We start from the raw sequence: 23129 nt of genomic DNA, 5'->3' as shown, positions 1-23129 counted from the left end.
GGACGTGAAAGCGGGTGCTTCCCAGCCCGCCTTTGTCCTTGGAGGGGTTGGGGGTGGGGGGACCCCATCTCTCGATGGCTCACTTTTCATCCCACACCACCAAGGTGGTGGGGCTTGGGGTTGGCTTTGGCCCTGGGTGGGGTCTGCGTAGGAGGCTCTGGCGAATCCAATCCCATGGGCAGCTTGGGCACTGTCAGGGGCTCAGGGGCGCCGAAGAAAAACAGAAGAGAAGCTCGCCTCGCTTCTAGGGTGACCTAGTCGGGTTCAGCCTGGGGAGCCCCTCCCTGCCCCCGTCCCAGCATCTGGGAAAGGAAAACGGTGGCGGGGCGACCCCTGAGGCCCGGAGCTGCTCGATCCCCGACACCTCTGCCTCGGCCGCCCCCTCTGAGAAGTGGGTGAAGCGCAACCCAGCAAAACGACTGCGTGGGAAGCGTTTAGCGAGTGCTGCGTGTGGGTCGGAGCCGGGGACTCAGGGAGGATCGTTCTGCACGGCTGGGGACAGCGGTGTGTGCGCGTGGGTGTGTACGCGTGGGTGTGTGCACGTGGGTGTGTACATGTGGGTGCGCACGTGGGTGTGTGCGCGCGTGTGTGTGCATGGGTGCGTGCGCATGGGTGCACGCGCGTGTGTGCGTGCATGGGCGTGCAAGTGGGTGCGTGTGCATGGGGGTGTGCACGTGGGTGTGTGCGTGTGGGTGTGTGCATGCGTGTACACACAGCTGCGCGGAAGAACCCGGGACGCAGCCACCCTTCCTTGGTTTTGCCGGTGCATGTTTTCTGAAGTTTCTACCAGAGCCTGGTGTTGCAGCAGGGGAGGCGCTGCCAGTTCTACCTGGCCTAGGCCGCCGGTTGGTGGGCACTGGGAAGGGTCTGGGGGGACCTGTGCTCGCACTAGGCCTCGATCTGCAGCTGGGGGTTATCGGGGGACCTGCCCCGATAATCACGTAGGTTCTTTTCTATTTTCCTAAGCATCGACTGGCTTGAGAAATAAAGGGACAGAGTACAAAAGAGAGAAATTTTAAAGCTGGGCGTCCGGGGGAGACATCACACGTTGGTAGGATCTGTGATGCCCCACAAGCCGCAAAAACCAGCAAGTTTTTATTAGGGAGTTTCAAAAGGGGAAGGAGTGTGCGAATAGGTGTGGGTGACAGACAGCAAGTACTTAACAGGGTAATAGAATATCACAAGGCCAGTGGAGGCAGGGCGAGATCACAGGACCACAGCTCCAAGGCGAAATTAAAATTGCTAATGAAGTTTCGGGCACCATTGTCATTGATAACATCTTATCAGGAGACAGGGTTTTGAGATCAACCGGTCTGACCAAAATTTATTAGGTGGGAATTTCCTCTTCCTAATAAGCCTGGGAGTGCTATGGGAGACTGGAGTTTATTTCACCCCTGCAGTCTCAACCATAAGAGACAGGTACGCCCCGGGGGGGCCAGTTCAGAGACCTACCCCTAGGTGCCCATTCTCTTTCTCAGGGATATCCCATGCTGAGAAAAAGAATTCAGCGATATTTCTCCCATTTGCTTTTGAAAGAAGAGAAATATGGCTCTGTTCTTCCTGGCTCACCGGCGGTTAGAGTTTAAGGTTATCTCTCTTATTCCCTGAACAATTGCTGTTATCCTGTTCTTTTTTCAAGGTGCCCACATTTCATACTGCTCAAACACACATGCTGTACAATTTTTGTAGTTAACACAATTATTACAGGGTCCTGGAATGATATACACCCTCCTCAACTGACAGGATTAAGAGATTAAAGTAAAGACAGGCATAGGAAATCACAAGGGTATTGACTGGGGAAGTGATAAGTGTCTATGAAATCTTTACAATTTATGTTTAGAGATTGCAGTAAAGACAGGCATAAGAAATTACAAAAGTATTAATTTGGGGAACTAATAAATGTCCATAAAATCTTCACAATCCACGTTCTTCTGCCATGGTTTCAGCCGGTCTCTCTGTTTGGGGTCCCTGACTTCCAGCAACAGGGGGTTAGGGGCTGAGCTTGGGGCCCCAGGGAAGAGTCACCAGTGGTTGGGGATGGGCCATCAGCAGCCACAGAGAACAACAGGTCAGTGCGTCTGGGCGGGGCGGGCAGCCAGGGCTCCTTTGTAGTTAAACTGCGCTCCCGGAGGCAGCTGGGCTCCATCCAGGGTCCGTGGATGGCGTGCCGGGGCCGTGACGTGACACTGGGTGGGAGCTGCTGCATCTTTCTCCTGAAAACATCTCCCCAGTGATGGGTGTGGAGGCAGCGCATGGCTGAGTGGGCAGCACCTGCCACTGTCACCCACCGAGGCTCCTCTTCTGGTCCCCGTGGTAGACTTCTGGAAATTTCCTGTGGGCCCATCCTGGAGAGACCTCTGCTCCTCTTGTTAATCCAAGCCTTCGTGGAAAGACCCTCAAGCCGCTGCCCCTCGGTGTTGAACAATCTGGGTAACCAGCTCCATCCAGGTGTTCCCCTTGGAAGTCTGGTGTGTTCTGTCTCATGTGTTGAGAAACCTGTTCTGAGAAGGCCGTGGGTTTTACCCGCCAGCTGGAGGCCAACAGCTCTGGCAGGTCAGGGCCACCCCGCACGGTTTGGGTTCCCTGGGGGTTGGGGGTGGACTTGGCTAGAAGGAGGCTGATAATGTCACAGAGGGGGTAAAGTCTGGACTGACAGGCTACAGAAAATTTCAGGCCCCAACAGCCAGGGAAGTGGGAAACTGGCTTCTCTCACCCCGTGTTCCATGGTAGGGACCCCTGGAGAGTGGTGGGGGGGTGGGGTACCCAGGGAAGCAGGGGGCAGGGTCCCAGCTACCTCCCCACCCCCAGGGGCTAGGAAGAGGATGGTAGGATCCAGTCTGTCTGAACCCATTTACACCAACCCTGTTCTAATTGCGGGAGGGCCCTCCTCTCACTGAGGGTCCTTGCAGGGAGAGTGCACTGGAAAAGCTGGCCCAATTGAGGGCATCTGCCCCACACTCTCCAGGGCAGACAGAGGCCAGGTGATCTTAGACCTGCACTAAGGGTCCTGGGAACATCTTGCTGGATTTCAGGGCCTCCTGGGATTGCAGCCCTGTGCACCCCTCTCAGTCCCAGCCGGTTCCAGCTCCACTGCAGCTGGGGGGACTCAGGAGCTGGGCGGTGGCACTGGTGTGGTGTGGAGGGGACAGCAGGTGAGGAGGCGGCTCTGGCGGGGAGTGAGGCTGGGTGTGGGACCCTTGGGGATCCTGGAAACACTGGCCCCAAAGGAAACCCCCAAAGAGTGGCCAGCTTGGGCCCCAGATCCCATTGTGTGGGATCCCTAGGTCATGTACCCTTTGGCTTCTTTCCCTCTGACCTCTGCCACGCCCGGCTAGACCTGGGGCCACAGAAGAGGTGTTGCCATTAGCCTTCACAAGCACAAACAGAAGGCGTTGGCCATTTCAGTAAAATGCCAGGGCTCCCGGGGAGAGGGAGGCCCCACCCCAGCCCACCTAGGAGCTGGTTGACCACAGCGACACTCAGCTTCAGCTGTGCCTGCAGAGGGCCCTGCACAGAAGCCAACCTGGGCCCTGTCCCCGGGGTTCCTCAAACTCACCAGGGACAGGGAGGCATGGGGGCACCAGGCCCCTCCTGCCAAGGAGCCCTCTGGCCAGATGTGCCATCAGAGACATCACCACCTGAATCCTGGATTTGCAGCAGGGTCACCCTGAGAGCTGCCTGGAGGTGCAGATCCAGGAGGCCTGGGCTGTGGGGATGGGAGCCGGGAACTCAGCGCCACTGGAAATGCTCCCATGACGTGGCTCGTCTCTAGGGTTGCCGAAGCCAGGGGTGTGTTTGCATAGAGGGCCCGAGAAAGAATGAAATAAACACTAGGCTGGGAGAGGAGCACGCAGAGGCAGGGAAGGCCAGTTTATTCATTGTGCAAGGCACGTGGTGGGCAAGGGCGGCCAATGGCTTGGAGGAGAAGGGCAGGGGGGGCCAGGGACCTCCTGTGGCTATGGGGGAATATTCCACCAGGGAACACCCGGGGCCCTTCAATAATAGGAGAGGGCTGTCTCATGGTTTCCTGGGCCTGGCTTGGAGGTAGTGGATAGGTAAGCCGTGGTTGTAGGGTATGAGGTCAGCCAGCTTGCACACTGTGGTGTGTACCAGTGCGGTGTGTACTAGTGCGTGTGCTGAGAGGTCAGCAGTGGGAGAGGTTGGGGGGAACCTGAGCCTGGCTGGCCCTGGGGGACGTGCCCGTCAGTAGCTGGGCTTCTGGCCTGAGCAGAGGCCTCAGCAGGCCAGGTGGGAGCACACACGGCGGCAGAGGAGGGACACGCAGGAGGCTGGGTGGCAGCAGCTGGGCTGGCAGGAGAAGGCGGGTGCACAACAGGAGGGGACGGGCATGCAGCAGGTGGGCCTGCACACAGGGTGGCAGAGGAGGGACACAGAGGAGGAGGGTCTGCAGCAGGAGGAAGTGCAGCAAGCCGGCTGGCAGCTAGACTGCTGGCAGCACAGGGAGGAAGCCCCAGAGCAGACAGGCACACAGCAGACGGGCTTGCAACAGACAGGCTTGCAGCAGACGGGCACACAGCAGGACTGCTGGCTTGGGGAGGAGGTGCAGCAAGCTGGCTGGCAGCTAGACTGCTGGCAGCACAAGGGCGTGCAGGAGCTGGGCTCACAGGCTGCCTGGCAGCAGGGGCTGGACACACAGCTCACTGGGGTGCAGACCAGGGTCAGGCAGGGGGCCGGGGCACAGCAGCTGGCGGCGCAGCAGGGGGGCTCGCAGCAGCTCTCCGGGCAGTCGTCCACCTGCCAGGAGTTGGTGGAAGCACTGGCTCAGGGAGGCCCCTTTGTTCCTCTGGAGCTTTTGCTCTGTGGGGTGGATGGTGGTCTCTGCTCCATCGCTTCAGTCTCCACCCCTGTGCTCATGTGGACGCTGCCTCTCCTGGGTGAAGTTTCCCTGCCTCCCTCTCATAGGAACGTGTGTGACGGCACTTAGGGTCTCTCTGGCTAAGCCAGGATCATCTCATATCTCAGGGCTCTGAACTTGGCTCAGAGATAGAAGACAGAGAACGTGGATCTCACGGAAGGAAAACAGGGCAGGAGATGCTGGAGTGTGGAAGGACAGGGCAGGGAGGATAGGGAGAGACTTGCCGAAAGACACAGAATTGCAGCTGCTCAGGGGGGACACGTTCTAGTGTTCTATAGCAGGGGGTCCCAACCCCGGGACGGGGACCACTACAGCCGTGGCCTGTTAGGAACTGAGCTTTACAGCCGGAGGGGAGTGGCAGGTGAGTGAGCTTTACAGCCGGAGGGGAGTGGCAGGTGAGTGAGCTTTACCACCCGAGCTCCGCCTCCTGCCAGATCAGTGGAAGCACTGGATCCTCAGAGGACCACGAACCCCGCTGTGAACTGCACATGCCAGGGGTCTCTGTTGCTCCTTGTGAGAATCTAATGCCTGATGGTCTGCCCCTGTCTCCCATCACCCCCAGACGGGACCATCTGGTTGCAGGAAAACAAGCTCAGGGCTCCCACTGATTTGACATGATGGTGAGTTGTATGATTATTTCGTTATAAATTACAATGTAATAATGGAAAGACAGTGCACAATAAATGTAATGCGCTTGAATCATCCCCAAACCATCCCCCTCCCCAGTCCGTGGAAAAGTTGTCTACCACAAAACTGGTCCCTGGTGCCATGAAGGTTGGGGACCGCTGTTCTAGATAGCACTGTAGGATGACTGTAAATCAGCAAGAATATATCGTTTCACGTCGCTGGAAGGAAGGTATCGAATGTTCCCCGCAGAGAGAAACAGTCCGTGTTTGAGATGGTGGGAGCTCTGGGCACCCCGGCCCGACCACTCCGCGCTGTCCCTATGGAAGCGTCACTGGGAACTCCATGGATATGTACAATAATGATGTGTCGGTTTAAAAAATGTTTAAGGATCTTAATCAGCAATCTAATCAATCTGCAAAGTGCTTTTCCTCACTATAAGGGCAGATTCACAGGTTCCAGGGATGAGGGTAGGGACATTGTCTGGGGGGTGTCATTTCACCACCACACCCTTTCCCAGGGTTCTGTTGGTTTCTGCCTCTGTCCACCTCTCACCTCTGACTTGGCTTGCACGACCTTGGAATATCACCCTATGGGCTGCGGTTTCCTTTTCTGCAAGATGGGGTCATGGTCCACTCACCCCACAAGGCCACGTGAGGATTACGTGGTTCAAAACAGGTCACGAAGGCTTCCTGAAGGTCAGCCACTGTTTTTATTGGCCACGAGGCAGTATCAGGCTTAACAGTGACACCTGAATTTCCTCTCAAGCCTGGCAAGCCTGGGATGCCTTTAGGTGGAAGGTTTCCCTGCTGCAGGTGGGTTTAACCAGACACTGCTGAGGGGCTGAGGCTTCAGGGCCCCCAGGAGTTCTTTAACCGTGAAGTTCCCACTGCCCGGCCCCAAGGCAGATTCAAACCACGGACTTCATGGATATCGTGAATTTCTGACAAAATAGAAGGCCTCATGCGGCACCCCCGGGGCCTCCAGGCCCCTCTCACTGTGTGCTGTTTGGTTGGCAAGGGGGGTTCTGGGAAGTCTCTGCTCCCTCGGCTCTTCTCGTGTGGACTGGCCTCCTCTCTCCCGTCCTTCATCGCTGAGGGATTGCAGGGATGGGCTGAGGGACTGCACTGGGGGTCGGCAGAGGAGGGGCCCCAGCAAGGACAGAGGAACGGCTCTCCCTGCCAAGCACACGTGACACCCAGCACGACCCCAGCCTTTGTGCTGCCAGCCCTTTTCTTCCTGCTCTCCAGCCTTCCTGGTGGTGGAACCCTGGACTGGAAGGCAGAGTGTCGCCTGAAGTCACCAAGTTCTTCCTATCTTTCTCCAAAATCAGCATCTTCTCTTGGACAAAGAACATGCTTTCTTCCAAAAAAAATTCTGTAGAAGAATCTCTGTTGTCATGGGGCACTCTCAAAGCACGGGGCGTCTCCTAGGATGCTCTTACCTGTGGACAGGACTGTTGGCAGCCCTGCTGGCCCAGAGCTGTTTAGCAAATCACCCTAAGCTAAAGAAATGGTGGAGGGGAGAGGCAGGGCAGACCCCAAAGATATCTGGCAGCTCAGTGAAGATGGCAGGGCCAGGGCAGGGCGGGGGACGGGGTGGAGTCCAGCTGCCCCAGCCGGTCAGGGGAGAGGGCAGTTTGGAGGAAGACGCTAGCTCAGCTTCAGATGTGCCCAGATGCAGCTTCCCTTCGGTCTGGGGGCACACCTGGAGGCCGCCGTAAGCGTGGCTGGGAGCCCAGGGGAGGCACCTGGTTGGAGACCTGGAGTTTGGGGGCAGGGAGAGAACGCACATAGAGAAAAGTCAGAGGAGTGGGTGCAGGAGCTGAGACAGACGCATCCCAGAAGCCCAGGGAGACGGCGTTACAGGGCCAGGCGCAGCAGGGGCTGGCCGGCAGAGTGAGGGACAGAGGGAGAGCGACCTGAGCACCGCAGTTCTTGGCCAGCTGTGGGAAGAGGGAAGAGAAGAACGGTGTGTTGGAGGAGCTGGGGGTGAGATGGGGTCACCAGGACCCACTTCCTCTGGGAGGTGCAAGGCAGCACTGAGTCAGAGGCTGCAGTCAGGAGGGAGGGGCCTTCGGCTGCACCCCTTTTCTTTCCCCAACCCTTTTTTTTTTTTTTTTTTTTTGAGACAGTGTCTCACTCTCACCCAGGCTGGAGTGCAGTGGCTCAATCATATCTCACTGCAGCCTTGATCTCCCAGGCTCAAGTGATCCTCCCACCTCAGCCTCCTGAGTAGCTGGGACTACAGGTTCGTGCCACCATGCCCAGCTATGTATTTTTTACTTTAATTAATTAATTAATTTTTTGAGACAGGGTCTCACTCTGTCGTCCAGGCTGGAGTGCAGTGGTACAATCTCAGCTCACTGCACCCTCCGCCTCCCGGCTCGAGTGATTCTTCTGCTTCCGCTTCCCGGGTAGGTGGTACCACAGGCGCGTGCCATGATGCCCTGCTAATTTTTGTATTTTTAGAGACAAGGTCTCACTATGTTGGCCAGGCTGGTCTCGAATTCCTGGGCTCAAGTGATCTTCCTGCCTCAGTCTCCCAAAATGCTGGGACTGCAGGCCTGAGCCACACGCCTGGCCTTTTTATTTTTAATGGAGACAAGGTTTCACTCTGTTGCCCCGGCTGGAGCTTTATCTATTTTCTGTTAGAAGAGACTTCAAGATATTCATGATCTGGGCAGTAGGCTTCAGACACGGGAGTTGTAGGGGCAGTAGAAGGAAGTGGACCGCTTCTGGATCTGGAGAGGTGGGAGAGGTTTGGCAGCTGAGCCTGGACGCTTGTCCCGGGACTCTGAATCTCCCTGTGAGGACTGAGGGGCTGGGCTGCAGGTGGAGCGAGCCATCCTCTCTGTCTGCAGCCAGGACTCCGTGTCCAGCCAGCCCCCACTTGGCAGGGACTGGCAACTTGGCGGGGAAATGTGGGGCGGTGGGGACGGCTGTGCCTGCGAGTGACCCCGCTGCCACCTCTGACACTCGCCCATCAGGGCCCTGGGAGACGGACTTGCCTGCTGGGCTGGGGTGGGGACGGCCGCTCCGTTGACCCTCCCTGGGACTGGTACATTCCTGCGGGGACGGCACCAGTGCCAGACTAATGTGTGTTGGGGCCTGGAGAAGGGCTGAGACTGGGCGCGAGGGCCCCAGGAGGCTGCATCTGTGTCCTGGCCTCCTGTCGGGCTGGTCAGCAATTCAACCAGAAATGACTCAAAGAAGAGAGCAAAGTGCAGCCGGGCTACGTGGAGGGTGTTTATTAGGACTTCCAAGCATGGTCCTACAATGGCCAGAGGAGGCACAGCAGCTTCCAAGGAGGCGAGACCACAGGGGCCTGGAATGTGGGAAGTGGTCTGGAAGAGCCGGGGGAGTGGGTGGAGGCAGGGTCATCTGGAGCTTAGCAGGAGCCCCCAGGGCTTAGGGGAAGAGAGGCTGTGCACGCATCTCCAAGGAAGAGACAGACACCAGAGCAGCCGAGGGGCCAGTAGTGGGAGAGGTGGGGGACTCATAGTGCCCAGTGGCCCTGGGGGACATGCCTGGCAGCAGCTGGACTTCTGGCCTGAGCAGAGGCCTCAGCAGGCCAGGCGGGAACATGTGGGGCGGCAGAGGAGGGACCCGCAGGAGGCCAGGCGGCCGCAGCTTGGCTGGCAGGAGGAGGTGGGGACACAGCAGGAGGGGACGGGCACGCGGCGGGCGGGTCTGCACACAGGGCGGCAGAGGAGGGACACGGAGGAGGAGGGTCTGCAGCAGGAGGTGGTGCAGCAAGCTGGCTGGCAGCTAGACTGCTGGCAGCACAGAGAGGAGGCCCCAGAGCAGACAGGCACACAGCAGATGGGCTTGCAGCAGACGGGCACACAGCAGGACTGTTGACACGGGGAGGAGATGCAGCAAGCTGGCTGGCAGCTAGACTGCTGGCAGCATGAAGAAGAAGGCCCACAGCAGACGGGCATACAGCACACAGGCTTGCAGCAGACAGTCTTGCAGCAGACGGGCACGCAGCAGGCCTGCTGGCAGGGGGAGGAGGTGCAGCAAGCCGGCTGGCAGCTAGACTGCTGGCAGCACGAGGGCGTGCAGGAGCTGGTGCAGCCTGATTGGCAGGGGCTGGGCTCACAGGTCACTCGGCAGCAGGGGCTGGATACACGGCTCACTGGGGTGCAGACCAGGCTCAGGCAGGGGGCCGGGGCGCAGCAGGGGGGCTCACAGCAGCTCTCTGGGCAGTCGTCCACCTGCCAGGAGTCGGAGCAAGAGTCACAGGAACCAGGAAGGCAGACGCGGCTGCCATAGCTCAGGTCGCTGGAGCAGACGGACATGGTGGATGCAGCCGTGCTGGGGGTTGAGCTGGGGGAGCTGAGAGGGAGACAGTGAGTGTCTGGGTGCTGGATGGGAAGGAGGGAGTGAGTGAGTGTCTGGGTGCTGGATGGGCAGGAGGGAGGGAGTGAGTGAGCGTCTGGGTGCTGGATGGGCAGGAGGGAGGGAGTGAGTGAGCGTCTGGGTGCTGGATGGGAAGGAGGGAGTGAGTGAGTGTCTGGGTGCTAGGAGCTTATATATCTCTCAAGGGTGTGTGTGTTGTCCCAGCACAAGGCCCCAGGCTTCTTTCCTTGTTGGTGTTTGGGGTGGTTTCTTGAGGATGCTCACCATGAACCGTGTAGCGTAGCTTAGCTCCTGAAGCTCCCCAGGTGTCAGAACTGAGCGGGACCGTGGGGCCGTGGAGGGAGCCGGCCAATGGGCTGGAGCCCAGCCTCTGCGTGGACCACAGAAGGTCAGCAGCCCTTGGCCGCCCCTCTGTGATTGTCATTTGGTATTGCTTACTATTATTTCCCCCTAATTTCTTCACACTCAGTTGAGTCAAGGATGTTTTTCTTCTTGTTTTATATTCTCTTTATCTTGAATCCGTAGACCAATGAATGGCTTGGGAGCTGGATTTATTTTTATTTTTTTCGGCAAACAGTCATGTGATAGGTCTTGCTGTGTGTCAGGAAGTATTCTGAGCAAGTTTGTAAATATGACCTCACTAACCCATACATCAACCTTGTAAAGTAGGGGCTGTTATTATCCCCACTCTACAGATGGAGAAACTGAGTCACAATGAAGAACTTGTGCAAAAGGCTGCACCAGCAGGCAGAGGAGCATACACTGGAGGCCTGGCAGGCCCGTATTCTATGTTCTTAGCCATTAACCTCTGCTGCCTCAGAGAGCAAGGGACATGGGAAATCAGAATGAGAAACCCAGATTGTGTGAGAAGAGCGGGGCGGAGCATGGTTTAGACATGGCGGTGTGGGATTGATGTGAAAATATCTGATGGGTGCCCAGACGGTTGGGTCTAGCTATAAAAAAGGAGCTCCTTCCATCTAAAGAGAGAGGATTTGGGTTTATTTATGAGTGGGAATGTGAAAAAACATTATTGTGAAGGGAAGGTCCAGTTCAGAGTTCAGAGGGGTTGTTCTAGGAGGTTGAAAGATTTCTTTATGGGAAGTGAATTGTTTTTAATTTTGAGAAGAAGACATTCGGCAGCCTTTGTGGTTGAGGACTCTAGAGCCCCAGGGCTCATCTAGCCTGGAGGATCCTGAGATTAAGGGAGAGCTGCTTGGCTCTGCCTGGAAAGTTGGAGGGCTTCAGGCCCACAGGCAGTGACCAGCAGGTGAGGGCTCGAGGTGTGTGGTGGATGGGCCCCTTGAAGTGAAAAGCCCTGGTGTGTGGTGTCTGCTGGTCTCTGCGTTGTAAACATTACCCTGTGATGAGATGAAACCCTGGTGTGTGGCGTGTACCCCTGTCCCGCTGCGGTGAGATGAGAACCCTGGCGTGGAGTGTTAGCTGTCATCCGTGGTGTAAATATTCATATCCTGGCTGATTTCAAGCTATGAGCAGTTTAACAACCTGCTTGAGAAGATTCTGAATATTTAACAATCATTTCTCCTAAGCTGAATAAACTGGCCCACCACAAGGGACCAGGAACTTGGAGGAAAAATTGGACTTGGGAAAAGGGTCTTGGGATCGGAGGTCATTGCAACCCTGAGGGAGTGTGAGCCAGGTTGGGGCATGGCCAGGGAGAGGCCCAAGGGAGGGAGGACCAGCTGATGCCTCTGGCCTGAGTCGTGCATTCATTTCCTGCTGTGTGTCATGACCCGACCCCCGACCTCTCAGTAGAAGGTCTGAGAAGAGGTGCTTTGGGGACCGAGACCCAGGGGCCTGTTCTGTACATATCAGAGTCTGTGGTGCACTTGCGTACCTGAGAGACAGCACAGCGTCCAGTCCAGTGGGAGCAAAGGTGCCAGGACAGGACCAGGAGAGTGTGAATGCCCCAAAGCCACAGGAGTTGGGGTGGGGTCGGGGGAGGCTGGATAGGTTCCCCACAGTTTGGAGGGCACTGTCTCTTGTTATTTTATTTGGATTATAAAGAGTGACCTCAGAAGGCCAGAGGATCTGGGGACATCTGGGTTAAACACCTCCGAGGTCAAGTGTCTGCATCAAGCAGCTCCTCCAGCCTGTGGCAGAGGCCTGGAGGGTTGGGGCAAAGCACGACCCCCCTTGGGGCAAGTCCAGGGGAGACCCTCCATGCTCTGTGTGAGCAGAAGGGACATTGAAGAGCTAGAAGATACGCCATTCCACCCGGAGTGTCCTCAGCAGGTTTATTCGATCTTCATGCTGCACCGGCTCACGGGAAGCTCTGTGAGCGCCGCCTTCTCCCCACTTCCTCCACGAGCTACTCGAGCCACTTTTCTGAGACTCAGCAAGGTCAACAACCTGCAGCCTTGTGTGCATTATTTTCATGATAGGCACTCAATAATTGTTGTTTATTATGACTTTATCAATACATGTGTGCTAAAACTGCCTATTCTTCCATTTGACTGCCTTTAAAAATGTTTTTTTTGTGATAAAATATATATAACATAAAATAGCCAACTATTTTTATCTTTTAAACATCGTGGTAAAATATACATAGCATAAAATTTACCATTTTAACCATTTTTAAGTGAACAATTCTGTGGGTTAAGTACATTCACAGTGCTGTGCAACCACCACCACTGTTCACCTCTAGGACTGTTTCTTCTTCCCGAACTGAAACTCTGTCCCCATTAAACATTCACTCCCCATTTCCTTCTCCCCACTGTCACTGGTCACTTCTATTCTACTTTCTGTTTCTGTGAAGTTGCCTGTTCTAGATACTTCATGTAAGAGGAATCAAACAATATTTGTTTTTTTTGTGACTGACTTATTTCACTTGGCACAATGTTTCCAATGTTTATCTGTGTTGCAATATGTGTCAGGACTTCTTTCATTTTTATGGATAAATAATATTCCTTCATACAGATATACCACATGTTTCTTTTCATGTGGAAATCTAGTTTTCCCAGCACCATTTGGGGAAGAGATGATTCCTTCTCCATTGAATGGTCTTGGCATTCTTGTTGAAAATCGGTTGACCATGAATGAATAGCTTTATTTCCGGACTCTTAGATTTGATTGCTTTTTGTGTCTATCCTTATGTTAGTACCACACTGTTTTGATTACTGTAGCTTTGCAGTAGGTTTTAAAATTGGGAAGTGTGAATCCATTCATCCATTCATCTGTTGGTAGATACTTGGGTTATTCATACCTTTTGGCTATTATGAATAATGCTGCAAAGAATGTTGACATACAAGGATCTATTTGAGCCTCTCTCTTTTTATTTATTTACTTATTTTTAGTTCTTTTGGGTGCTCCTTATTTCCTGAGTCATGTGGTAATTCTATGTTTAACTTTTAAGGAACCACCAAAATGTTTCCGCAGTGGTTGCACTATTCTACATTCCCACTGGTAAAGTATGAGGGTTCCAATTTCTCCACATCTTTGCCAACACTTGTTATTTTCCTTTAAAAAAAAAAAATTACAGCCATCCTGGTAGGTGTGAAGTAGCATTCATTGTGGTTTTGATTTCCATTTTCCTAATGAGTAATACTGTTGAGCATCTTTTCATGTACTTATTGGCCATTTGCATACCTTCACTGGAGAAATGTCTACTCAATCTTTTGCCTATTTTTTAGTTGGGTTGTCTTTTTGTTGTTGAGTCACAGTCAGATGTATGATTTGCAAATATTTTCTTTCATTCTGTGGATTGTCTTTTCACTTTCTTGACAGTGTTCTCTGATTCAAAAAAGTTTTAAATTTTGATGAAGTCCAATTTATTTTTTCTTTTGTTGCTGGTGCTTCTTGCGTAATATCTAAGAACCTAGTGTCAAATCCAAGGGAATAAAGCATTTTTCCCATCTTTTCTCCTAAGATTTTGATGGTTCCAGCTACCATATTTAGGGCATTGATCCATTTAGAGTTAATTTTTATATATGATATTAGGTAAGGGCCCAACTTCATTCTTTCCCATCTGTAAATCTAGTTTTCCTAACACCATTTGTTGAAGAGATTATTCTTTCCTTATTGAATTATCTTGACACTCTTGTTGAAAATCAGTTGGCCATAAATGTATGAGTTTATTTCTGACCTTTGAGTTCTATTCTATTGGTCCATATGTCTGTTCTTAGGCCAGTACCACACTGTTTTGATTACTGTAGCTTTGTAGTACGTTTTGAAATCAGGAAGTGTGAATCCTCCAGCTTTGTCCCTCTTTTTCAAGATTGTTTTGGCTATTCTGAGTTCCTATAATCCATATGTGCTTGAAGATCAGCTTTTTCATTTCTGGAAAAAAAAAAGACTTGGAATTTTGATAAGGACTGCATTGAATCTGTAGATTTCTTTGGGTAGTACTGCCATTTTAACAACATTAAGTCTTCTAATCCATGAACATGGATGTCTTTCCATTTATTTAGGTCTTCTTTAATTCTTTCAGCAATGTTTTACAGTTATCATTGTACAAGTCTCTTACCTCCTTGGTTATATTTGTTACTAGGTATTTTATTCTTTTGGATGCCATTGAAATGGAATTGTTTTTCTTAATTTCCTTATCAGATTTTTCATTGCTGGTGTATAGAAACATGCATGATTTTTGTATGTTGATCTTGTACCCTGAAACTTTGGTGAATTCTTTAATAAAGCTCTAGTAGCTTTCTTGTGGATTCTTTGGGATTTTCTATAGACATGATCATGTCACCCGTGAATAGAAATAATTTTACTTCTTCCTTTCCAATTTTAATGACTTTTATTTATTTATTTTTCTTGTTTAATAGCTCTGGCTAGAACTTCCAGTACAATGTTGAATATTGGTGGTGAAAAGGGACATCCTGTCTTGTTCCTAATCTTAGGGGGAAAGCTTTCAGTCTTTCACTGTCAAGTATAATGCAAGCTGTGGGTTTTTCATACATGCTGTTTAGCATGTTGAGGAAATTCCCTTCTATTTCTAGTTTTCTGAGTGTTTTAAAATCATAAAATGGTGTTGGACTTTGTCAAAGCCTTTTCTTTGTTAATTGAGATCATGTGGGTTTTTTCACTTCATTCTCTTCGTGTGGTATACTACATTGATTATTTTTAATCTGGAGCTATCTTTGCATTCCTGGGATAAATCCAACTTGGTCATGGTATATAATCCTTTTAATATGCTGTTGGAATCACTTTGCTAGTATTTTGTTGAGAATTTTTGCATCTGTACTTACAAGTCATGTTCGTCTGTGATTTTCTTTTCTTTTGATGTCTTATGTGGGTTTGGTATCAGCATAATGTTTGCTTCACAGAGTGAGTTAGAAAGTGATCCTTCTATTTTTTTCTTTCACAACTTGAGGAGGTTTTTGTTAAATTTTAAAAAAATGTTTGGTGATATTCACCAGTAAAGCTGTTGTTGGGTGGAGTGTCTATACATATCTTTTGTGAGTAACTGGTTTATAGTGGGTTCAGTTCTCTATTTCCTATTGACCTTCTGACTAGATGTTCTGTTCATTATTGAAAATGAAATATTAAAGTCTCCAACTATTGTAGAACTATTTCTCACTTGAATTCTGTCAATGTTTGCTTCATATATGTGGGGACTCTTTGTATGGTGCATATATGTTTCTAATTCTCATATCTTTGATGAGTTGAATCTTTTATCAATACATAATGTCCTCATGCATTTTTGCAATTGGAACAATATGGATGAATAGGTCCTTGATGTTCTGTCTCTCAGTTCTTAGGGTCTTAGTGTACGGATGGGGACATAAGGATTCTTGAAAAAATAAGCTTATTATAGAGAAAGTCAGCTGTGAGTAATGGCTGATACAACATATGTTGTTAACAGTTATACGTTAGAGACATAGGGGTGAGTGCCATTCTTTGCTATCAGCTCTGTTCCCTGGCCTAATGATGCACATGCTAATTCCGTAATCTCTTAGAGCTTGGGGAGAGAGAGGGACTCAAAGCAACAAGGTTGTAAAATCATGTTCTTAGGAGACATTTCAGATGTTACCTAGGTAAGGGGGTGAGCTGGGGAGAGAGAGAGAAGTGTGGAGAGAGGAGAGAAGGGGAGAGGAGGCGAGGGGAGATGAAGGGAAGGGAGGGGAGGAGGACAAACTAATAGGTGTCTGGATTCTCCATCCCACTTTAAATTAGAGAAGCTGTGTTTTAATCTGTTTTACAGACTTGACTTCTAGGTCAGATTCAGTTTGAAAAAATATTTCCACTACTTTAAAATATTTTGAAAAGAGCCTGGCATGGTGGTGCATACCTGTAGTCCCAGCTACTTGAGAGGCTGAGGTGGAAGGATCACTTGAGCCCAGAAGCTTGATGCTAGACTGACAACATGGCAAGACCACCCCTTCTCTATAAACAAACAGACAAACAAAAATGTAGAAAAGCAAATGACCACACCCCCAGAGGATAAAATACATGCTACTTAGCCTTAGAAAAACACATATGCTTACTTAATAGTTTTATGGTTAATAATTTGCTGTCATGTTTACTGCTTATCTTAAGAACTGCTTATCTTCTGTTTAACCTGTTTATTTACAGCATGCTCATCTTTGAAAGCGTGGGCTGAATGCTGACCTCCCGGACATCATGAGTGTTGTTCTGTGAGTCTGTAGCCTTCAGTGCTGCTGATGAGATGTCTGATGCTAATCTGATTTTTATTGCTTGTGGGTGACTTGTTCATTTGTTTGTTTGTTTGATTTTCTGGAAGCCCATGGGAACCACTTGTTATCTTTGATGTTATATCATTTCAACAGAGGACATATCTAGGATTTTTCCGTTCATTTTTCTTGGCATCACTTGGTTCTTTTCAGCCTGAAGACTGTGTCTTTAGCCTTGGGAAATGCTCCTCTTTAGGAGTTTATTTGTGCATCCGCTCATCATTCTCACTGTCCCGCTTTGTGGGACTCCCACACATCAGGGATTACATTCACTAGATCAGTCATTTATGGTATTTTTTCCTCATTTCTTTTTTATCTCTTTGACGTTTTGTTCCAAATCAGAGCGATTTCTCAACCTCATGGTGATGGTTAATACTGAGTGTCAACTTGATTGGATTGAAGGATGCAAAGTACTGATCCTGGGAGTGTCTGTAAGGGTGTTGCCAAAGGAGATTCACATTTGAGTCAGTGGCTGGGAAAGGCAGGCCCACCCTTAATCTGAGTGGGCACCATCTAATCAGCTGCCAGCGAATATAAAGCAGACAGAAAAAATGTGAAGAGGCGAGACTGGCCTAGCCTCCCAGCCTACATCTTTCTGCTGTGCTGGATGCTTTCTGCCCTTGAACACTGGACTCCAAGTTCTTCAGTTTTGGGACTCAGACTGGATCTCTTTGCTCCTCAGCTTGCAGACGGCCTATTGTGGGACCTTGTGATCATGTTAGTTAATACTTAGTAACCCCCCCCAAAATATATATATATATATATATATATATATTCATTCTATTCTGTCCCTCTAAGGGAACCCTAATACACTCACCTTCAAGCCTCTCTGTTTAATTTTAAATATCAATGAGATGTTTAATATCTGTGACATTTTAGGGATCATTGTTCTAATTGTTCATTTTCAAAGCATCTTGTCCTTGTTTGGTAGATGTAACATCTTCCTGAATATCTGAGTGTATTTAGGACTTTTTTTTTTTTTATTCGAGATGGAGTCTCGCTCTGTCGCCCAGGCTGGAGTGCAGTGGCATGATCTCAGCTCACTGCAAGCTCCGCCTCCCAGGTTCACGCCATTCTCCTGCCTCAGCCTCCTGAGTAGCTGGGACTACAGGCACCCGCCAACACGCCTGGCTAATTTTTTGTATTTTTAGTAGAGACGGGGTTTCACCGTGTTAGCCAGGATGGTCTCGATCTCCTGACCTCGTGATCCGCCCGCCTCGGCCTCCCAAAGTGCTGGGATTACAGGCGTGAGCCACCGTGCCCGGCCGTATTTAGGATTTTTTAAGTTCCTTAAACCATTGGTTTCCCCTGGGTGCAGTGATATGTTAGTTTATCTTGGTCTTGCTTTTCGTGCCGCTGGCTTCCCTCCTGGCTGGGGTGAGGGTGGTCCCGGGCTGCCCGGGCTCCTCTCTTGCTGTGTGTGTGGTCTGTTTTCTGCTGGAGGAGCCCCCACCTGAGTGGGGAGGTTGGCCTGGTGCTCTATGCTCGGGGCGCAGGTCCATCCATCGCCAGCCTCACTTTGGAGTAAAAGCGATGGGAGCCCGAGGCCAGCATGAGAGAACTGTGCCTGGTGCCCCTCGGGGCCTTTAGGGGTCCTGGCCAGGGGGTGACATGCTCACACCTTCAGTCCCCCTCTCCACTGCAGCCCTCCCCACTCCCCTTCCGCTGGGCTTGCTGGGAAGCAGAGCTGTGTGGGGCTCCCAGGCAGGTGGGTCCCACCTCTGCCCTGGTCGGCAGTCCACACACACCCTTCTCTTTCCTTTTCATTTTTTTTTCTTTGAGATAGAGTCTGGCTCTGTTGCCCAGGCTGGAGTCCAGTGGGGCGATCTCGGCTCACTGCAAGCTCCACCTCCCGGGTTCATGCCTCAGCCTCCTGACTAGCTGGGACTACAGGCGCCCGCCACCATACCCGGCTGATTTTTTGTAATTTTAGTAGAGACAGGGTTTCACCGTGTTAGCCAGGATGGTCTCCATCTCCTGACCTCATGATCTGCCCTCCTCGGCCTCCCAAAGTGCTGGGATTACAGGCGTGAGCCACCGCGCCCGGCCGTCTCTTTCCTTTTCATTGCTGGAGTCCCTCATCCTTGGTAAACTCACTTGCCCTCCCCTGTGGTGGTCTTGGGAAGGTGGAGATGGGAATGGTGGGCTGGGTCTGCCATCCTGCCCTGGGGCAGCCACACTGTTTGAGTGTTGGCTTCCTCATGACTGTCCTGCTGCTTCTGGGACATTTGGCTGACCTGCGATCCACCGTTATTCTCCCTGAATGCTGGGTACCCCAATTCTCTGCACCCCACTTCCCTCTGATCATAGCCCAATTCTCCAAAGCAAGGATCTCATGTGTGGCTTCTATTTTTTATGAAAACATTTACTGTTTTCATCTTCTGAACTACTTTTTAAAAACTATCTTTATTTTCATTTTGTTATGAAAAACGGAAACATACAGAAAAGTTGTAAAAATTAAACAGTGGGCATCCACGCGCCCGGCCCTGGATCTGCACCTGGCACGTCACTCACTGTGCTTGATCGGATACTCACCCCCGAGCCGGCCTCTGTCAGTGCATCATATTTCACAGGCACTGCAGGGGAAGGTGCAGCAACCGCACACTTCACTCACACACTGCAGCAACCTGCCATTAACTCGAGTTCAGCATTTGTTTTGCATGTGAAATGATTCAAATCTCAAGGGTATCATTTGACGAAGTTTGCCAATCTGTCAACACAGCTCACCCAGGCCCCCTCAAGGCCCAGGGGAGAGGGTGGTCCTGGCTTCCCTCCTGGCTGGGAGAGGACCCCCATCAGGACCCTGGACTTTACCATCCTCTCCAGAACTCTTCTGCCTTCCCCAGTCAATTTCACCCAATCCCCCAGAGATGGCCACTGCTGAGAATTTTTTAAAGCATGAATTGGTTCTCCTTGTTTTAGAACTCATTCAGATGGAGTCATACAGCAAGTCCTCTGGTGCCGGCCTCTCCCACCCCGCGCGGTGTTTCTGCGATGCGTTCCTGTTGCCGTGTGCGTAAGCAATGCCGCCCTCAGTGCTGGTGTGGATTCCGCTGTACCGCTCTGTCACGCTGTGTTTATCCATCCACCAGCTAATGGGCACATGGGCCGTTCCGGTTTTTTCTGTTATGATACAGTGGGACAAGTGTGCCTGCCTTTCAGAGCCCTCAGCACCCAGAAGCTGAGTAATCACCAGGCGCCCAGTGTGTCACTGGGAGCCCTGGCTTTCAGGGGACCCTTCCTCCTGCTGAGCTGAAATCTACCTCCCTGTCACACCGCCTCAGTGGCCCCAATCCAGCCTCTGGGGAAACGCGTGCTGGGGGAAAGCCCTTCTGACACCCGAAGGCAGCCACCAGGTTCCCCAGGCTCAGCCTCCTTCTTCCCGCAGCCCTTCGTCCTGTGGCTTGGTTTCCAGGCTCCAGAAGAGTCCTGGCTGAGAGATCCTCGTCTGAAACTACTGGGAAGGAGACACCCCCTTTGGACTCAGCAGCTTCAGCCACAGCTTTTCCCAGAGCGTCTTCCCGACATCCCAGGGTCAAGCTCCACCTCTGAGCAGTGACCAAGGACAGAACCCCATGCTGACATTGTCTTGGTCAGGAAGGCAAAGGACAACGAGAAACAGCTTCAGGGAAATTTTTAAAAAGACCCACTATTAAGGAGCAGAGAGACTTATTTTTGATAGAGAACTAAGCCTTCCTGCACAAGAACGTTCAGGGGAAATTCCAGCCACAGTGGGAGGTGGATCTGTCACCAGGGACTGAGAAGTGCAGGGGGATTCTGATAATAGGACAAAGGGAAAGGCTTTTGCTAAACAATAGCAGAGAGTTGATTATCAGGATAATCCATCAGCAGCAGGCCGGTGTGGCAGGTCACAGGTCTGCAGGCCAGGGAAGGGGCAGAAGGGCGGGCAGCACCTGGAGGACCCGCAGGAGGCGGCCACACACAGGCCCGACCTGAGCATGCGGCAGGCCAGCTGGCAGGAGGTGGATGCCTCACACAGGGGCCGGCACAGCAGAGCTGCACGGTGCGGGGGGCAGGGCGGGGGTGGCCAGGTGGCAGCAGGAGGTCCCACAGCCCTGGGTGGGCAGCAGGTGGTGGAGATGCAGCATAGAACCAGGGCAGGTCATGGGCATTCGGGCAGCAAGGCCCCTGGCATCTTCCTCCTTGGGTGGGTTTTCCTCCTCTGCCCTCTCCTGTTGATCTTTCTGGGTTTTCTTGTTGAGGTTACTCAGTTCAGGAACCTCTGAGCTGGGGGTTCCCATGACTCAGCAGACCATGTGTTTCCTGGAAACAGAGCCGAGGGGAGCTGGTGAAGGGCTGTCAGTGAGGCCAGGGGTCCACCTCATGGATGTTCAAGGTCCCCCTGTTGCAAATGCCATCTGGAGCTCACACAAACACAGTCACACTCACTGCACCAGGGGCCCCGTTTTGACTGAGAAGCTCAGTCATCATCAGGGTCTTCCCAAGTAATGAGAGCCAAGCTACTGGGCTCCATATTGTGGAATAATAATGATGATTATTGAGGTAACAGTAATGCACAGAGGTCTAACACTGTGCCAGGTTGTGATTATCTCATTGATCTTTGCCAGCATTCGGGGTGGCTGATACCCCATTTTACAGATGTGCAATTTGTAAGTCATAGAGGGTTTGCACAATGGGTGCGTGTCTGCACCACTGCAGAGGTGCAGGGATCTGGACTGCTTAGTTTCACTCTGGGATCCATGGTCATTACCACTGTGCCAAATTATACCGGGGGTAGAGGGTTCAATAAGTGACTCATCCTGAAGTCCTGAACCAGCTGGGACAGAGAAGATGGATGAAAACATCAGCCACGTTGGCGTCTGCAGAGCATGGCTCAGGCGTGTGACCACAGTGGGCTTCCTGACACCACACCTCAGAAGTGCCCACTTCCCACGAGTAGCACTAATGGCCACAGGACACCTCCTCTGCAGACGGAGCCCAGGAGGACCCATCACAGAGGAGGGCCTGAGCTACTCATGTCTGGTTCCTCTCCCTCGCTGTGGGTCTGGTCAGTCTCACCCCTGCAGAGGCAGCTTGGGGGAAAGTGAGGAGCTGGTGTGAAATTCCAGGATGCCCCTGAACTTGGGAAGCAGCGGGCAGGAGTGTGGATGGCACGCTCCTCCTCACACTCCAGCTCTGTTCTCTCGATGGATTGGCCACAGCGCTTTATTCTACGGTGGTGTCACACAGTAGGGGTATGAGCCATCTCTCACGGCAGAGCTACTCCCTCCATCCCAGGCAGCTCCCAGGGGCACCCTCTGCTCCTGTGTGGGTCCTCCTGTGCCTGCTGGTGGTGGATATGGGTGATTCCTGCCAAGAAGCCTTCAGACAAGTCAGACACCATGTTAATGAAATCCCCTCCAAGGCTGAAGACCAAGTGGGGTCTCAGAGCTGTGGACAGAACTTAGAAGTCTATGGACCCAGAGCCGATCTGTGGCCATGTGAGAGTGACCTTAAGGCCTAGGGACAAGCCGGGCGAGGCCACAAGTTCAGCCCTGTCACAGGCAACTCCTTTCACTGCTATAGTTCAGAATCACACTTAAAAACCAAGAGAATTGGGGCAGCCACAGTGATCACATGTTCCTATGTGACCTAGTCACCAAGTAATCCATTTTAAAGGTTAGCTGTCTTACAAGTTGACTACAGAAGAATGAGGATGCATCTTTGATATTTACCTGCTCCTTTACCTTCCCCCATCTCCTTCCTGTAGGTCAGGGCCCACCTGGCCTCGTCCTAGTCAACCTAAAGCACATCCGTGCACGTTGCCTGGCCCTTACTCCTTCCTGCAGGTCAGGGCCCACCTGGCCTCGTCCTAGTCAACCTAAAGCACATCTGTCCACGTTGCCTGCAGCGCACATCTGCAGGGGAGGATTTCTCCCAGCTTTTGTTCCTCTGAACAGATTTTCACTTCAATCTCAGTTTCTGGGGTTTTTTGAGACCCTTCTTGCTTGGTCACCCAGGCTGAAGTGTGATGGTGCAGTCATAGCTCACTGCAGCTTCGAACTCCTGGGCTCAAGCTATCCTCCTGCCTCATCCTCCTGAATAGTTGGGACTACAGGTGCACACCGCCACCCCTAGCTAATTTTTAAATTTTCTGTAGAGATGTGCTCTTGCTTGTTGCCTAGGCTGGTCTACAACTCTTGGGCTCAAGTGATCCTCTTGCCTCAGCCTTCAAAGTGCTGGGATTAGAGGTGTGAACCACAGTGCCCGGCCCGGCCTCAGTCTCAGTCTTTAAGCACGTTCTTCATAGATGTAGACTTCCGGATTGCCAGTTATTGTTGCTCAGCATTTTAAAGATGTGTCTCCACTGTTTCTCATGAGAAGCCAGGGCGTTTTTCTTATCCTTGTTCCTTTGTATGTAAAGTGTCTTCCTGTCACTGCTTTTGAGATTTTGTCTTCATTTTTGGTTTTCATCACTTCATGATGTGCCTGGATGTGGTTTTCTTCCTATTTATCCTACTGGGGGCTTTCTGAGATTCCTGGATTTGGACGTTGTTGATTTTTGAAGTCAAATTTGGTGTATTTAAAATTTCTAACTACTGTACTTTTCAGTTCTAGGATTCCCATTTTAAAAAATAGCTTCAATTACTC

At 51.6% G+C, this 23129-nt stretch overlaps 2 protein-coding genes and 2 pseudogenes across 3 annotated transcripts in view, besides 4 other annotated features; 1 reads left to right on the top strand and 3 right to left on the bottom strand.

Annotated features, from left to right (window-relative positions):
• Positions 1-23129, top strand: part of TSPEAR (thrombospondin type laminin G domain and EAR repeats) — a 213680-nt gene that overhangs the window by 4568 nt on the left and 185983 nt on the right. Inside the window, exon 2 of one of the 2 annotated variants that reach the window (NM_001272037.2) lies at positions 16399-16460. The exons of the other annotated variant lie outside the window; for it this stretch is intronic. The gene's annotated coding sequence lies outside the window, so the exon portion shown is untranslated. The remainder of the gene's footprint in view (positions 1-16398; positions 16461-23129) is intronic. 2 annotated transcript variants of the gene reach the window in all.
• Positions 3160-3895: an enhancer, noted in NCBI's record as "H3K4me1 hESC enhancer chr21:46123025-46123760 (GRCh37/hg19 assembly coordinates)". NCBI's record gives its function as "activates a minimal SCP1, AML or CMV promoter by ChIP-STARR-seq in naive H9 embryonic stem cells {active_cell/tissue: H9 hESC(naive)}" and the evidence as "EXISTENCE:reporter gene assay evidence [ECO:0000049][PMID:30033119]".
• Positions 3896-4631: an enhancer, noted in NCBI's record as "H3K27ac-H3K4me1 hESC enhancer chr21:46122289-46123024 (GRCh37/hg19 assembly coordinates)". NCBI's record gives its function as "activates a minimal SCP1, AML or CMV promoter by ChIP-STARR-seq in naive H9 embryonic stem cells {active_cell/tissue: H9 hESC(naive)}" and the evidence as "EXISTENCE:reporter gene assay evidence [ECO:0000049][PMID:30033119]".
• On the bottom strand, positions 4204-4971 carry KRTAP10-13P (keratin associated protein 10-13, pseudogene; annotated as a pseudogene).
• Positions 8614-9293: an enhancer, noted in NCBI's record as "H3K27ac-H3K4me1 hESC enhancer chr21:46117627-46118306 (GRCh37/hg19 assembly coordinates)". NCBI's record gives its function as "activates a minimal SCP1, AML or CMV promoter by ChIP-STARR-seq in primed H9 embryonic stem cells {active_cell/tissue: H9 hESC(primed)}" and the evidence as "EXISTENCE:reporter gene assay evidence [ECO:0000049][PMID:30033119]".
• On the bottom strand, positions 8961-9833 carry KRTAP10-12 (keratin associated protein 10-12). Its single transcript, NM_198699.1, has one exon. It carries the CDS (start codon positions 9801-9803, stop codon positions 9066-9068), a length of 738 nt encoding a protein of 245 aa, NP_941972.1. The 5' UTR covers positions 9804-9833; the 3' UTR covers positions 8961-9065.
• Positions 9294-9973: an enhancer, noted in NCBI's record as "H3K27ac-H3K4me1 hESC enhancer chr21:46116947-46117626 (GRCh37/hg19 assembly coordinates)". NCBI's record gives its function as "activates a minimal SCP1, AML or CMV promoter by ChIP-STARR-seq in primed H9 embryonic stem cells {active_cell/tissue: H9 hESC(primed)}" and the evidence as "EXISTENCE:reporter gene assay evidence [ECO:0000049][PMID:30033119]".
• Positions 20366-20647, bottom strand: KRTAP12-5P (keratin associated protein 12-5, pseudogene; annotated as a pseudogene).

This window comes from Homo sapiens, chromosome 21 (genome assembly GCF_000001405.40).
Source record: "Homo sapiens chromosome 21, GRCh38.p14 Primary Assembly".
NCBI lineage: Eukaryota > Metazoa > Chordata > Mammalia > Primates > Hominidae > Homo > Homo sapiens.
The sequence above is the reverse complement of the archived record's forward strand: the minus strand, read 5'-3'. Positions and strand labels throughout refer to the sequence as shown.